Source organism: Homo sapiens, chromosome 4, assembly GCF_000001405.40.
Source record: "Homo sapiens chromosome 4, GRCh38.p14 Primary Assembly".
NCBI lineage: Eukaryota > Metazoa > Chordata > Mammalia > Primates > Hominidae > Homo > Homo sapiens.
In genome coordinates, this window is record NC_000004.12 from 53,589,248 (window position 1) to 53,606,138 (window position 16,891).

At 43.2% G+C, this 16,891-nt stretch overlaps 1 protein-coding gene and 1 long non-coding RNA gene across 5 annotated transcripts in view, besides 2 other annotated features; one reads left to right on the plus strand and one right to left on the minus strand.

The window, feature by feature from the left end:
- The window catches only part of LNX1 (ligand of numb-protein X 1), a 193,177-nt gene that overhangs the window by 129,947 nt on the left and 46,339 nt on the right, over window positions 1-16,891 (minus strand). For 3 of the 4 annotated variants that reach the window (NM_001126328.3, XM_024454262.2, XM_047416328.1), the window contains exon 1: window positions 2,141-2,239. The exons of the other annotated variant lie outside the window; for it this stretch is intronic. The gene's annotated coding sequence lies outside the window, so the exon portion shown is untranslated. Of the gene's footprint in view, window positions 1-2,140; window positions 2,240-16,891 lie in introns of those variants that run through there. 4 annotated transcript variants of the gene reach the window in all.
- Window positions 3,419-4,331: an enhancer, noted in NCBI's record as "NANOG-H3K27ac-H3K4me1 hESC enhancer chr4:54458833-54459745 (GRCh37/hg19 assembly coordinates)". NCBI's record gives its function as "activates a minimal SCP1, AML or CMV promoter by ChIP-STARR-seq in naive and primed H9 embryonic stem cells {active_cell/tissue: H9 hESC(naive and primed)}" and the evidence as "EXISTENCE:reporter gene assay evidence [ECO:0000049][PMID:30033119]".
- On the plus strand, window positions 3,709-16,135 carry LNX1-AS2 (LNX1 antisense RNA 2). Its single transcript, NR_046827.1, has 2 exons — window positions 3,709-3,825; window positions 14,290-16,135. It is a non-coding gene; the product is annotated as an LNX1 antisense RNA 2 (long non-coding RNA).
- Window positions 12,271-12,770: an enhancer, noted in NCBI's record as "H3K4me1 hESC enhancer chr4:54467685-54468184 (GRCh37/hg19 assembly coordinates)". NCBI's record gives its function as "activates a minimal SCP1, AML or CMV promoter by ChIP-STARR-seq in naive and primed H9 embryonic stem cells {active_cell/tissue: H9 hESC(naive and primed)}" and the evidence as "EXISTENCE:reporter gene assay evidence [ECO:0000049][PMID:30033119]".

Consider the following 16,891-nt stretch of genomic DNA (forward strand, 5'->3'; position numbering starts at 1 on the left):
GCCAGCCAGCAACTCCTAAAAGCTTTGCCTGTGAGGCTAGCGGAGACAAATCTGCCCACCTTGTTTGATGACATTGTTTAAGAATTCTCCTGCCTGTTTTCTTTTTCCAAACTGTTAACATTGCAGTTAATTACCTACAATTAATTACAATAACAAGAACTATCAAGGTTCCTACAACTGCAACCACATATGATCTTTATCTTGATAGAGTCAGACTCTCTCCTCCAAGCAACCTAGGAAAATTCCTTCCAAAGGAAGAACCTAGCCTCAGTTTAGCACCAGTTAACACCAGGCATTGGTCGCTGGATGCTAACATATATTAGCTACCTCATTTACTTCTCACAACCACATTAGATCATGGGGATTATTATCTCCCATCTTACCGATGAAGAAACTGAAAGTCAGAGAAGTAACTTGCTCAAGGATATAAATGAAGGAGATTGCACATTTTTCCATCAGGCCTATGTCCACTTGAACCAATGGGTGGAGTTACCACAGGAACTCTGGACAGGACTTGTGTGTAAATTACCCAACAGACCAACTGCATTCTAGTCAATCTGACTCTGAATTCCAGTCTTTGTCACTTCTTTTCTTTCTTCTACCTGGGGGTACAGTGTCTACAGCTTTGTTCCTTTAGTACTCAGACATGCTGACATACAGTGATGAAATTATTTATTTAATCATAAATTAACTACTGTGAAAAGCACTAATCAACCATGGTAAACCAGAGGCAATGTAATCTTGAGGAGAGGTTTAGATGCACTTTTATCAGAAGATCCAAGCTTTGAATCAAGTGAGAACCTTAGTAAGAGACAAGTGGTGGCCAAACCCCCCCCCTTAAACTCACAAGCTTGGGGAAAATAATAAACAAAGGTCAGTTAAGGAAGAACAATAGGGACCTCCAAACAGTAAGACAGAAATTAGCAACAAGAACTGGGCAGATTCTTAGTGGTGAGGAACGACTGTCTGTCTAAGGCAAAAATGATCTCAGCTTGTTTCAATTCATACCTTGGGAGAATTTACATGCATTTTGTATTTCTGGGTGGATGAACAGGAGCATAATTCCTAACAGATTATTCCCTTGCAAACATCTGCTAACTTAAATCTCAGAAAAACAGCTGATGTTGGAATCTAGAATGAAGTGTCTCGCAGATTTATTTCTTTTTCCAGTTTTTCCAGCTCATCCCAGCAGGCAGCTGGGCTTAAAAATGGTTTCCTTTCTCTGACAACAATATTGGCTAAAGAGTTTGACTATTGGGCTGTCAAGATACAGGCTGTGTGATCAGGATTAAGAAAACAAAAATGGATCCTAGAGGTAAAATTACTTTAAAAGCCAGGTCCTGGCAGAACAACTTCCTCGGTATATTTGCTATTAAAAGAAAAAGAGACAGAAAAAGCCAAAGAGGTCCAAAAAATTAAAAATCAGACCTGAAGTCACATTCTTGCAGCAATGAGGGAATTAATTCTTACTGTAACCAAAGGTCAGCAGGCAGCCAGTCCAGGTCTAAATGTAAACAAATTCTAAATGCACACTGCAAAGTCGTATTTAAAAGAGTGTTCAACAAAGAGCAAAGAAAATGGTAGACTTTTTCAGAGAAGAGAGGAAAACTGGAACGCACAGCTTCTGAATAGGGCAACAGAATTTGCCCTGAGGAACAGGTTTTCAGGGGGAAAGAAAAAAAAACTAGGGACACTTCACAGGTTTAGATCAAAATACAGGGAGGAAGAAAAGGAAAAATAAGAACTCTGAATCCAGTCTGCACTGGCCTCCTAGCCCCCGTTAAACGGGCTGAACAGATCTGCACCTTCGCGCTAAGTTTCAAAACAAAAGCCTTCACTCTACTTCTCTTTAGGTTGTTGTTGTTGTTTTAATCAGATCAAGTACGAGGACAAGCACAGGCTGGATTAATGATCAGAGAAACAAAAAGGATTAAATATCTGGCCTGGGAGAAGTTTATTGTGCAACTAGAATGTCAAAGTCATCTCTCTACTCTTCTGTCTCAAAAAAGCTTCTCCCTCTGGGGCAAACACTAGCGACAAGCCGTTCAGCTTGTATTTTTTCATTCAAATTCCGTGTTCAGATCCCTCAGGGGCCAGTGGTCTAAATGCCAAGAGAGAAAAATGGAGGGTTTCAACTCACCTCTTCAAGCGACTGTCTGGGGCTCTCCAAGCAGCAGCAGGCAGGCAGCTCTCATTCCTTGTGGGTGAACCGAGCAGCTCCTTGGGCCGCCGGAGTTGTGACCAGCCTCAACTTCGGTGAACAGGTGCCTGGAGGAAGGAGGACGGCATTGGTCGCTCCAGACCAGGAAATGGGTGACATCACGGAAGCCCCGACAGATAAAGCATTGCTGAGACCTTAGGGATTGAAAGAGTCAGGAGGCCCCGCCCACCTGTCATTTACCTGAATACCTGCAAGCAGGTAGGTGGCGTCTCTTTGTGGACAAATAAATCAGTTAGAGCAATTTGCCAGGTGGAATTTACTTTCTTTCCTGAGCACAGCACGTGTCCAGCCCCGTGTTCAGATCTGAAGTCAAATGCCTGGTTGTTTCCCAGGCCCTCCCCTTTCCCCATATCTGCCCACAAAGGAGTTAAAAGGGAAGTTTAAACACCAAAATGAGACAGTAATTTAGCAGACACAAAAAGGAAGAGTGTGAAGCCGAACTTCTTAGAAATATCTGAGGTGCCTTTTCGAACCGCATCCATTTGAACACCAAGTGTTTCTCTAATTCCAATAAAATGACAAATTTAAGTTGACATTTCCAATTCATCTTTTAAACAATTTGAAATAGGATACCTGTCAGCAGTTTCAAAGTGGTTTTCAAACACTTTTGCGCTACCCCCTCCCCCGCCCAGCATTTTTAATTCCATATTCAGGAATTTGCAAAACTTCAGTCATTCCTATCTCGGCTGGCTTGGCAGTTAGAGTCATACGGCAGTTACAGTGCACTGCAGGCCTGCAATTAGGAGCAATTTAAATGATTCAGATTGGAATGGTAGTACTGTCATTAGGCGATGTTGTCTGCTGATATAGCCAGGAAAGAGACGTCAGAGTTATTTCTGTCCCAAGCGTGGTGTGTGACCCTGGACAAGTCACTGGTTGCTTCACCTTTTCCAGCAGGAAAGGAGGCGTAAACTCATCCAGCACCAGAGCAGGCAGCTGGGAGGTATCCCAGGACTGTTAAACTCTCTGGCATCTTCCCAGGAGGGCTGTAAACATCTCCCATCATCCCATTGAAACGCTGCGTATTTTTACCACCTGCATCCAGCATCCCTGGAACTCATTACCTGAGGAAACTGTGGATTCCCCGTCCCGGAAGATGGCCTGCCTGCCCAGAGAGAATTTTTTTTCCCCTTCAGGAAAATAAATGTTGACATTCCTATTTTCCTCCTACTTTTGCCTCCCTCGTCTTCTTCTTTCCCTCCTCCTGATTTTGGGAATGCTTTTGTTCCACCGGTTTTAATATTGGACTACCTAGAGGTTTTGGGGTTTGGTTTGGGGGAGGGTGGAGGAAGAAGGAAAAATGGGAGAGGGAAGAAAAGGAAGTCCGGATTCCCACAGCCTGGGCCTCAGCTGGCTGCAGTCAGTCAATAGCTCGCAAAGCAAGGGGGAGGAGAAGGAAGAGAAATTGTAGTCGAGGGCGGGGTCTGGGGGCCGGCTCTGGTGCTCGACCTCAGGGGAGCTGGCTCCTGTCCCCGATCCGCCCCAGACAGGTCTAAGCTACCTCTTTGCACCTGGGAACTCTGTGCCTTTTGAGAGTTGAAGGCTTAAAACAACAACAACCACCACAACAAAACTATTCACCTTTTTATCCAATAGAAACTAAGGTAGGTGTGGCTATTCCTTTATTATTTAAAAGAAAAAAAGGGAGGTAACAAAACCTTTTACACTCAGGTGTTTCAGGAAAAGGTTTCACGCCACTAGTTTGATAATTGAGAAACATCACTCACACAAAGGCCCCCCTCTTCACGCGGACAGGGTGTCCCCTGGGCAAGGGGGAGGGGAGGGAGAGCCCGCCAACCTGATGAATCATCTAGAAGGCCACGCCTTCAGCGGTCTTGCCTTTGGCGAAGGGCAGGATCCAACTTGGGAGGGGATCACAGGCTTCGGTTCAAGGCCTTGGGTGGGCAGGGGAAGGGTGTAGGTGAAATGAATTCGCATAAAGCTTCACCGAACAGCCTGGAGATCGTGAGGTTTCACTTGCCATGTTCACATACACACAGTCATCTACATATGTGGTGTGATGAATTGTTGTAAAACAGAAAGAAAATAGAGAAATAAGAGTTAATCCAGGAGTGGAGCTAACTCCCAGGTATAGTGTATAAAGGAAGAGAAAAAACTACACAATTAGCCTTCTCAGGTGAGATCTTTCTTGGTACTCCTGGATTTCGAATAATATGCAGGGGTTAAAAAAAATAATATGGGCTTTTTTTTTGGGCCATTAGGGCTGTTACATTATCATGGAAATTATATTTCTAAACTACTAGAAAAAAATGTAATCATAAAAATGAACATTGTGTTTAACAGGTGCTACTTATTGTTCTGAGCACTTTATACAAGAACCCTGTGTCAGGTATCATTGCTATTTGCATTCTACAGCTGGGAAAACCAAGACATAGTGAATCTGAGAAACTGCCTAAGGACAAGCTCATCGGCAAGCGGCAGAGCAGTTTTTAATCAAGGCCCACTTTTTAACCACTGGAAAGAAAAGAGGGAAGGTTCTGATTTCATGCTCACTGGGACACTTCCTGGACACATTCAGCTTCTTACCCATTATTCAGAAGGAGAAGTAGAAACCTGTAGAAGTAGCCCTGGGGAGGGTAGTTTCTGATAAAGGATGTCTCCATTTGGAAATTAATTAGTAATCTGGTCTATATGCTGAAAGTGTGTGTATAATATATATATATATATGTATATATAAATATGTATATATTCATAAATTCATGCATATATTTATGAGAAATCATACCAGGAAATCCATCGCCCCTGGGTGCACACTTGAAATCATCTTTTGAGAGCTTATCAAATCAACCCCAAGATGGAAGGCCAGCTTGAGGGACCCCTCAAGAATGACCAGTTGTAACTCTCTATGACATCTTTTATGGTCATTTTTCTCTGTAACTTCTGCGGCCTATCACTTTAAAATCTGAAAATTTAATCCGAGTGGCCATAAGAACATGGAACTGCATACATTTGGAAAATATGAGACAATGAAAAATTAAGTTTCATTATAAACCACTACCAGGAAGAATGGTTTAGACTAGGCTTGGCAAATCCTGGACATATAGTGCTCCATTCCCCCCTCCCATACCATTCTCACTGTCATTGCTAAAGACCATGACACTTTTCAACTCAGAAGGAACTTTGGAATCTTGAAGATATTACTCCAGGCACACTAGCAGTTGGTTTTACCCCCCAAGATCAAACCCTTTTCTTTTACTTTCTTACTTTCTTTTCTTTCTTTCTTTTTTAATTTTTTTTTTTAGAGACAACTCTCCCTTTGTCATCCAAGCTATAGTGCAGTGGTGCCATCATGGCTCACTGCAGCCCCAACCTCCTGGGCTCAAGTGATCCTCCCACCTCAGCCTCCCAAGTAGCTGGGACCACAGGCACGTGCCACCATGCCCTGCTAGTTTTTAAATTTTTTCTAGAGATGAGGTCTCACTATGGTGCCCAGGCTGTTCTCAAACTCCTGACCTCAAGTGATCCTCCCACCTCGGCCTCCCAAAGTGCTGGGATTACAGGTGCGAGCCACTTGGTCCCCTTTTCTATCTCTAGTTGGACAGTAAGTGAGACAGAGAAGAGGGCTGATCAGGAAGCAAAAATATTGGTGTTGGCTGGTGCCATTGGGGAATATTTCATGAAGAAAGGAACATGAATTGGGCCTTGAACGATTTGGAGAGGTGGTGAGAGGGCACAGATCATTCCAGACAGGGCAGTGGCATGGGTGGAACAGGAATGATCATAGCAGATATCTGTTGGGGAGGAACATGTGTGTGGTGGGGGAGAAGAGGAATACGAGACAATGAAATACCCACCTTGCTAGGGTGAAGAGGATCCACTGATTGCTAAATTTAGATGGGCTGAGACTGTAAAGAGCCTCGGGAACCTCAAGGGCTAACTGCTTCATGTCCTCACATGCCTGTTGACTACTTTTCTCATGATGATTAAACAGCTTAAGAAAAAGAAACTCAGTATCTTGGGCATGGGGTAATTTCTTATGCATGACAATGGTTTTCAGCATTGAGCTAAACTTCCAGGATATGCCATTTCGGCAACCACATGATCTTTCTCTTTAGGAGCAAGCCTCTTTTGCAGTCAACATATCCTGGAAACTTTGTTCTTTGGATAGGCAGGTGGAAAACATTAGAAAGCTTTCTGAACTCAAAGTTGGGCCTGTCCTAGTTAACCAGCCGGCTCACTTGGGCTTTTTGATTAGTTTGAATTCCTTTATATATCTTGACAGGGAAATCTAAGGGGGGAAGGAGGTCTGTCTTCAAAGCTCTTTTCTTGTAGATCCCCCCATGAAGCTTGGCGTTCTCAAGGACTCCTCCTGGCAATGAACCTACAGCGAAGACCATGCCTTGTGATTCAGCAGAATTACTTTGCCCATTTTGCTTCCTATTTTTTTTTCCCATGACATATTTCTAGAGTTGTCTATGATGATTGAATGCCACAATTAAAATGGACATATTCCATTTGACTTTAATAAAAGTCATCTCTACAAAAACCTCTTTGGCTATCTTCTAAAGGTATTTAACATTATGATTTGGACTTGCTTATTACATTACATACCATCATATTGGCCGTAATTACTTTTTTAAATGGGCTCAGCTCCATATCTTTTATTGGCTAATTATATGTGCTTAGCATAACGCAGATGAGCAGATCTCAGAAGGGCAATTATGGGAAATAAGAGTAATAATCACAAACATCAGCTGATGTGATAGAATGCCATCTGGTTCTGTGTATATGGAAGATATTCCATTTCTCTCACAAACTTACAACCTGTGTGTTGCCTGGTTTGCAGATGAGTTTCTAGGGTAACCTGTGGACCTACAGTTTAGGAGGAAACACTTCTCTGGTTTGTGTGCTTTTGGGGAGAGAGAGAGTATCTCAGGGAAATTAGCATTAAATCAATTATTGAAGTTGGCGCACATTTTGTGAAAGTTTACCACACTGATTTGTGGTCAGCATGTTCTTCTTTAGTAGGGAGAAAAAAAGAACTTCATTGTTACTGTGTTTATAATGGTCACGAGACCTATATCTTATGACAATTACACATATTTTTATGTTTCTATGATCTCCATTCTTGCATAAACAGGGTGGATTATTCCCAGGGAATTTTTTGGTGGTGGCTGTTGCTATTTCGAAGGTTGCCATGTCTTTGTTCTTTCTTGGATCCTTCATACATGGCTACTTTAATTGACCCAGTTCCACATACCAGATTTAAAATGTCTCTTCTCCTTGTTAACTTTGACTTCATCCTGAAGGCTTCCACATTCTTGTAGATGACCCCTCCAGCATCCCTGACTTCCCCCTATTATAATGACAATGACATTCCCCTCTACTTCTATTGAGTCACCCATTCTCAGGATCACCCCTTAGATCTTGTTATCACCCCAAAATCTCCCATTTCAAAAGAAATCTGAGAATGCAACTCTCTACTGTATTTTCTTATTCATTCGGATTTTTCATTCCCTTCCTCAAATTTTACATTCTTTCTGGATGGACTGTACTGTCTGGTTCCTGGACTCCGGGAGGCTGCCCAAGAATATCTGTTCCTTACTAGTTTCACTTTAGGTCCATCTAGCCCAGATCCTACTTCCTTGCCAGCATCTTCAGCTTCCTAAGGACCTGGCAAAACCATGTTGCCAGCCTCTTTTTCTACGAGCCTGGAGATGAGTGCCTCTACCTATGTATGCTTTGCAATGCTAGCTGCACTTGTCACTCTCCTTGGCAAACTATCAATTGATATTCCTGATCAGTCCCTCTTCCTGGCAATCCATCAATTGATATTCCTGATCTTTTCAGTAGTCATTCACCCTCAGCTCCTTTGCCTTGCCTGGCCTGTGAGGCTTTTTATGATCTGGCCCCTGTCTGCCTTCAAACTTTATCCATATCTCTGATCCTTTGCAAGCACAGAATGCCACCACCTGCCAGCCCCCATGCCATAGTAACACTGTGTTAGAGGGGTGCACTCCCCTCACCCCCATTTCCATAGAGAACTGGTTTTCTAAGCACATTCTGGCCATGTTCCACCCTTCATTCTCTCTGTCCCTGGGAGTCCTTGACTGGTAAAATGGAAATGGACAGCAGGGCAAACTTGGGTTTGCACCTCTCTTTCCTGTCTTGAAAGTGAGCCAGAGCTTTCGTCTGTGGCTCCACACTCTGAGTCTCTCCAGGGCAGATTTCTGTCTAGGAGGCTGCCATGCCTACATCTGCCCAGTCTGAGTGCCTTCTAGCTTTGTTTCCCTTGTTCTAACCTTGTTCTCCAATTTAGCCATTGTCATTTCAAAGGTGATATTTTGGCCTCCAAAATTATTCTTTTAAAATTTTCTCAAACTATCCTGAACCTAGGTGAGGAAAAGGGGTCCTCCTTGAATACTCCCCAAACCTGACTGTCTGTGGTTCTCATAACAACCAGACTGGACATTTTTATGGTTATTTCTCACATTTGTTGAACCATTGCCTAGATCAATGTTATGCTCTTTGCCCATGTTCTGAATCCTGGCAAAAAAATCCCATGAACTAACTACAAACAGGTGAAGAGACTGAGTCTCTGCGAGGTAAAGTAACTTGTCCAACATGCCTGGTTGGTTATGGGCAGACTTGAGATTCAGTCCCAGGCAGTATTATTCCTCCATCTGCAGGGCTCAGCTCAGATACCATCTCCTTTATAGGACCTTCCTGACTTCCCTAAGCAGATATTGATGCCTGTTCTGCACTCGTGACATACTCTACTTCAGCAATTATTTTACTGACTGTGATTTTTTTTTTTTTTTGAGACAGGGTCTTGCTTTGTTGCCCAGGCTGGAGTGCAGTGGCACAATCACGGTTTACTGTAGCCTTGACCTCCTTATGATTAAGGGATTCTCCACCTCAGCCTCCCAAGTACCTGGGACTACAGGCATGCACCACCATGCCCAGCAAATTTTTGTATTTTTTGTAGAGATGGGGTCTTGCCTAGTTGCCCAGGCTGGTCTCGAACTCCTGGGCCCAAGCGATCCTCCTGCCTTGGCCTCCCAAAATGGTAGGACTAGAGGTGTGAGCCACTGCACCTGGCCCTGACTGTAATTTTTAAAGACTGTTTCCTCTCTAGACAGCGAGGAAAGGAATGTGACTTTCCACGTACTCTCAGGACTTAGCCTGGTATCTGGAAGAAACATAGGAGGCCTTTGATAAATATTAGTTTAAAGAACTAAAGATGAATGTAAGTCAAGGGAAGGAATGGAGGAAGGGAGGGCTTACTCGTTGTTAAGTTACATCTTGAGTCATCTCTTCGTTTTCTTGAGAGTCAAAGCCTGAACACTTTGGGAAGGGAGCTAACTTTATCACATTTAATTTTCACAATAATTCACAATAATGAAGACATTAATTCATTCACTTATTTATACACCAAATTTATTAAGCACCTTCAATATGACAAAGATGGAAAGAATCTCTGCATTTGAGGAACTTAGAGTCAATAAGGAAGCAGAGCTAAGGACAAACAATTAAAGTGTAAGGTAGAAATTGCTTAACAGAGGAGTGTTACAGATGCAGTTACATGAGACAGCAGGCCAGATTGTTTCTTCTAACTTTAAGGCTCCAAGTTATTATAAAGTACTTTCCTGAGTTTGCAGAGCTAACATTTGAGTGGCATGTGAACCAGGGCAATTCATCTTGAATAGGGGGTGTGTAAAATAAGGCTGAGACCTATTGGGCTGCATTCCCAGACAGTTATGGCATTCTAAGTCACAGGATGAGATAAAAGATTGGCACAAGACACAGGTCAGAAAGACTTTGCTGATAAAACAGGTTGCAGTAAAGAAGCCAGCTAAAACCCACCAAAACCAAGATGGCTATGTGAGTAACCTCTGGTCGTCCTCACTGCTACACTCCCATTAGCGCCATGATGGTTTATAAATGCCACGGCAACATCAGGAAGTTACCCTATATGGTCTAAAAAGGGGAGGCCTGAATAATCCACCCCTTATTTAGCATATATCAAGAAATAACCATAAAAATGGGCAACCAGCAGCCCTTGGGCCTGCTCTGTCTATGGAGTAGCCGTTCTTTTATTCCTCTACTTTCTTAATAAACTTGCTTTCACTTTACTCTGTGGACTCATCCTGAATTCTTTCTTGCACAAGATCCAAGAACCCTCTCTTGGGGTCTGGATCGGGACCCCTTTCCTGTAACAGTGCCAGTTGACTATAGAGCCCATGATTTTCCCAGGTCCCCCACAGCCTTATCTTGGCTCTTATCCATGAAGGGCCAGGCAGAGGAGGCTCATGGGAACCAAGACTGAAGCACACTTTCAGATTCTATGTATGTCACCCGAGAAAACCTATACCTCTTATAGCTTTAGAATTTGCACAAATGTAGAGGCAGCTGCTCTGAGTGGGTAGAAAGACTATGTATATTTCAGATATGGTCTCAGTTTCGTGCCCACAGTCAGGGCTGGCTGGCATTGCACCTTGGGAAGAACTTGAAAAAGATCTGTGCTCAGCAGGTGACAGTAACATCTGTAGCTGTTTAGATGAATTTAAAATTCCTTTAAGGTAGAGTTGGCAGCTCAGTAACCTTTTTAAAAAGGCCCCTCTCCCCAATACCATATGCTTTTTAAGTGTTGTATTATTTAAATCCCTGTTAATTCTATTTTTATATAGTCAGTGCTCAGTGGATAGGAGCAAATTACTATTTTCCTCACATCAATCCTCCACGCACTTGCTGTTTTTTATGCTGTCCAATAGAGTACTCTGTCCTCTAAGAGCCCAAATTCTTCAAACTTTTTCCCAAAGGGGTTGAAAATTCATAATAACTAGTAACATAAAGTGACTCGAGGACACATGCACACAAAAAAAAGTCCTAGTAGGGAATGGAGTGGGAAAGGCAAAAGCCAGAGGAGAATTGTTTTGCTGGCCTACTCAGGTACGAGAAGCACAGGAGAAGCCAACTTTCTAGGTGGGAAAGTGTTTTCCTTCCCAGGAACTTTTGCTTCCAAGAAAGGGCAGGCCCTCAAAAACACAGATTATGGCCAAGGAGCTCATCCCTTTATTTATCTTAAATTAAAGAATACAAGAAAGAGAATATCATGAAAACCACTCACTATTACCAGAGAGAAGGACTCTCAGTCAGATTCCGACTAACAGGGTCTCAATATAATAATAGGGGAAGTTCATTTGACTTTTCTCAAATCACGAGCATGTGAAGACACCCCTTTTTAACTTGGACATGAACCTGGATGGACGGCCTCTGTTTTTTTATTTTTATTTTTATTTTTATTTTTTCAATTTTTGAGACAGAGTCTCGCTCTGTTGCCAAGGCTGGAGTGCAGTGGTGCAATCTTGGCTCACTGCAACCTCCAGCTCCTGGGTTCAAGCGATTTTCCTGCCTCAGCCTCCTGAGTAGCTGGGATTACAGGTGCCCACCACCACACCTGGCTAATGAAACCCCATCTCTACTAAAAATACAAAATTTAGCCAGGCGTGGCAGTGGGCGCCTGTAATCCCAGCTACTCAGGAGGCTGAAGCAGGAGAATCACTTGAACCCGGGAGGCCGAGGTTGCAGTGAGCCAAGATGGCACCACTGCACTCCAGCCTGGGGGACAGAGGAAGATTCTGCAAGAAAGAAAGAAAGAAAGGGAGGGAGGGAGGGGGGGAGGGAAGGAAAATATCTGAGAAGAGGCTTGCATTTTGTATTTAAATATATTCCACTCAGTTTTATGAATATGGAGGTTTAGGAGTTAGGAGAAGTGTTATTAACTAGACCGGGGATCCCTAAGTTCCTTGTTTGTGATGTCTTAATTTGAGTCTTTGTCCATATCAGTGCCAGCCATCAGCCCAGGGTGGCCAGACTGGTCCTTCCAGTTGTGGCTGTCCCCCTGAAGTGGCATGGTCCACCCCTCTCCCACTTTCGCTGAGTCTGCCCAGGGGGTGGACAGGAAATGCAGCTTTGACAAGTTCTGCCATGGGTATGCTCGCACCCCCACATTGGGTGACTCTCACTAAGTGTCTTGCCACGATGGCCAGTCCTTCTAAGTGATTAGGCTGCACCTGGACCAACACTGTTCGCGTTCTGGCCACCTGCCCATAAACTCGCAGCAGCTGTGACAACTGCGTGAGCCTGGTAGCAAGCCCATTGTCCCCTGGGATGCTAACTCCTCAATGCCATGTGGCTGCGGGGGTTTGGCAGAAGAGACAGCAGCTGTGCTAGGTATGTCCCCTCCTCATCTGTGCCCCCTAGAGGCAGCTGCACACACCAACTCATCTGAATTCGAAGCTAGGAGATCTATGAGGCTCCAGCTCTACTTTCAACTCATCTCAAGATGGCATCTTCTCCAGGATAAAGGAATAAGGAACCACATGCCAGGGGTCACTGCAGGTCACTCTGAAGCTGCCAGTCATCTCAAAGTCAAACTCTCCAAACTGGTTACTGCTGTTTCTCCCTGCCCTGCATCCCCTCTTCTGCATACCACCCCATTCTGTAGAATCTATACCACCAACCCTCCTCACCCCTGCTCACGTGACTGACTTCTCCAGTCAGCACCATTGTCCTCCCCTGGAAATGATCCCATGAAATTTCATAAAACATCAAAAATGGCTTCTTGTCAGTTAGCCTTATGGTTCTACTGGTGTGATAGAAATAGGGACAGAGTGAGAAATAGAAACTAGGATCTGTCTGTGCAGAAACCCAAGGTAGTGAAAATGAAGTTACTCTCCGAAGTGATAAGGGGATGGATCCAAATCTGTGACCTTGACATCACCATCTATTCTAGGTCCTGCAAGCAACAGATGCCAAGACGAAATTAAATATGCAGGGACTTGATTAGGGAAAATACCTGTGTGAGCAACAGGGGATGGAGGCTGAGAAAGGCTGGGAGAGCTGTCAGACCACCATCCGATCTGACACCAGTGAAGGAGAGGAGGGAAGGTTAGGTGGAACTGTACCTGGGCCAACATCAGCTGTCAGAGTAATCCCAACTTTCAGGAACAAGCCTGTCTTAGGGTCCTGCAGCACTCAGTCACTCTGACACTGACCAGGAGCTGCACCTTGAAGGGTGGCTTGCTGCAAATGCAGGGGTGGCTTTTAGAGTGCAGCCACTTGAGTCCTTTGTCAGTGACACCTCCTATAATGGGCGGTCTGTGAGGGCACTTGAATGGCCTTTACACGTGGTGACTAAACTAATGAAGTAGCTGAGGAGATGGGGAGTGGAGTCCACAGGACCCAAGTCAAGGGAAGGCAATCAGGATATTGTTTCAAGGAATGAAAAACACGTGTTGGGTGATAGTTCACAAGGCTTCAGTCTGATCACCTGGATTGGGCTCAGTGTGAAGGAAACAGAAAGTCTGTACATCCATGACATATCATTTTACTCTATTTTAAAACAAGCCAAATATACCTGAAAGCATAGAAATTTCAAAGCCTTGAAAAAATTCTTCTGTTTTCAAGTTTGCCTTAGCACTGACAGTAGATGTGAAGCTCTGAGACCACTTTTGAAGCTAGAAAAGGCAAGGACAAAAGTACAGAGACAGTGAGTTTCATGGACATCTTATGACCTTTCTGGGCCTCAGTTCCTTCATCCCTAAAAAGATCCCTTTCAAGTCTAAAATTCTAAAATCAATGCTCAGATTGGCAAAGTTTCTAATAATCAGGGAAAGCAGTTTTCCAGGATCCAGAGCACCACAGTGTCACTGTATTAAGGCAGCAAATAAATCAGCCCTGGTTGTGCTGGCCGTGGGGCCATGGAGGACTCCAGGGTGGTTGCAGGGCTTCCTTGGGAGCCGACTCCTCACTGCATGTGAGGACCTACTCATTTTCATATTCATGGTTCCTAGCTCATGGGGAAACTCAATAACATCTTCATTAAATAAACACACAAATGGACAAAATCAATTTGGGAAGAGAAAGAGAAAAGGATTGGGGTAAAAAGTGATGTGAATTAGCAGAGCTGGGTTATAGGCAGGGTGGATATGCAGCTGGTGTCCACCATGGAGCTTGTGTTAGGCCGTTCTTGCATTGGTATAAGGAAATATCTGTGACTGCTTAATTAATAAAAGAGGTTTAATTGCTTCATGATTCTGCAGGCTGTAAAGGATGATGCCCGGCATCTGCTCAGCTTCTGATGAGGCCTCAGGAAGCTTCCAATCATGGCAGAAGGCAAAGGGGAACCCATGTATCACATAGCAAGAGCAGGAGCAAGAGAGGCGCGGGGAGAGGTTTTAAACCACGTCTTGCAAGAACTCACTATTGCGAGGACAGTACCTTGGGGATGGTGCTAAATCATTCATGAGAAATCTGCCCCCATGATCTAATCACCTCCCACCAGGCCCCAACTCCGACACTGGAGATTACATTTCAACATGAGATTTGGGTGGGGACAAATATCCAGACTATATCGGGGCTGTACCAGCAATTGACTCCTGACATCTGTTCTGACTGGTCAGAGTCTGTTCTGATAGGTTGGTGCCTCTACTGATTATTAAATATTTTATGCTATACCAATTATTAAATATTTTGAAAACCACCTACTGTTACATGGGCTATCATATTGCCTAGAATATTTGGTGATGGTTTCATAAATGGAAAGCAATTGATTTCTGATAGTCATTCCACCGCAACCTAAGGTCACCATATCTATTAATAATTCCTGTAGATGGTAGTGGGATGGAGGGTGATTTAATCAAATTGATGACAATTTGAAGTTGCCAAACTGCTGATTTTTGTTCTACCCTTCGTAGAAGACAATTTGTATTACTCTTTCCCTGCTGCCCCACTAGAAATATATTAGCACCTAAAGCTTGTATATTCATTTATCACAAGCATAATATGTTCTCCTTAAGCTGGATAGAGAATGTTTGAGTTAAAAATGAACTGAGACCAAAGAGAAGTGACCTGTTATTCAAGTCCTTATACTCACAAATGCTTGGGGCAAAGGGAATGTTTGGAGAAAAGTGATGAATTCTCTAGACTTAAAAGCCAGTTGGATAAAAAGCAGAACTGGCAGAGCCTATGCCAATGTGGGATTATGGATGCAGGAAGAAGCAAGAGGAAGTAGCCCAGGAACTTACAGAAATTATAATGAGGGCTCCGAATTCTTATGGGTTGTGGTACTGGCATTCAGGCCAGGTTTAACTAGATGTCCAAAGGCTGTGCAGGGGGATATCTGATATCTGGAATATTCTTAGGCTCAATTCGTTTGTTTCTTCATTTGTTTCTTGCAACCAAAAATGAATTATGAATATCAGTCCAAAGTCAGAGACAGACTAATTTGTTTCTCATATAATGAACTAGAAGGTATATTTCTAAGACTAAGGATTTGTGCTTGTGTTTGGATTGGAGCTGAGCCTCTTGGGTGGGGAAGACAGGTCACAGGCCACCTTTCTCAAGAAAAGAGGCTGCAGGGGCAGAAAACTGGAAACATGAAGCTGTATATGTATAGAATTCCAGGGCAAGTAAAATGTAAATGAGTGATGAAACAACATCACTCCTCACAACCCGGGTGATTTGCAAAGTCACCAGGGAATTTCAGGACACCTGGATTACAAAACCATAGCAAGACTTGGAGTCCGCATTAGCATAGTGAAGTGGAAGCTGCCAGCTCAGTTAAGGGCTATGCCTAGAACTGGCATAGCACCACTTCTCCCATGTTCTCGTGGTCAAAGGAGTTACAAGGCCCACCCAGATGAAAAGGGATGGAGAAATAGATTCTACCTCTGGATGGGGACTGGCAAAGTCACATTGAAGAGCATGTGGAATGGGAATTGTGTTGTATGGTAGCCATTTTGGAAAATACAATCTACTGCAACAGATGATTAAAATACTTAAAAAGAAATTTTAGTGTGTTATCGTCTTTAAACATTGTACAAATTTAAGGTGTATAATGTGATGTTTTGATGTATATTTTATTAAAGTGATTACTAGTCAAGCAAATTAACGTATGCATCATCTTACATGGTAACTACCTTGTGTATGCGTGTATGGGGGTGGGGGGTAAAGTACCTAAATATGTTCCCAGTAAATTTCCAGTATACAATACAATATTTGTAACTATAATCTGCATGCTGTACTTTAGATCTCTAGACTTATCCACTCTATATAACTACAACTTTGTATCCTTGGCCTACATAACCCTGTCCTCTCACCCCCACACCTGGTAACCATCATTATACTCTGTTTCTCTGTATTCATGTTTTTTTTAAAATTCCATATATAAGTGAAATCACGCAGTATTTTTCTTGTCTGACTTATTTTACCTAGCATAATGTCCTCTAGGTTCCTCCATGTTGTCACAAATGAGAGGATCTCCTTTTTAACAGCTGAATAATATTCCATTGTACATATGAACTATAATCTCTTTATCCATCATCTATCAATGGACACTTTGGTTGTTTTCATAGCTTGGCTATTATGAATCATGCTGCAATCAACAACATGGGAATGCAGCAATCACCAGATATCAGCTGGTGATTCCGTTTCCCAGAAGAGGGATTGCTGGGTCATGTGGTAGTTCTATTTTTATTTTTTTAAGGAACCATTATACCCTTGCCAATTCTTATCATTCCTTGTCTTTATCACAAGTGGAGGAACTAGATAAACAAGAGCAAACCGACACACAGTTAGCAGAAGACAGGAAATAATCAAAATCAGAGCTGAACCGAAGGAAACTGGGAAAAACCATACACAAAC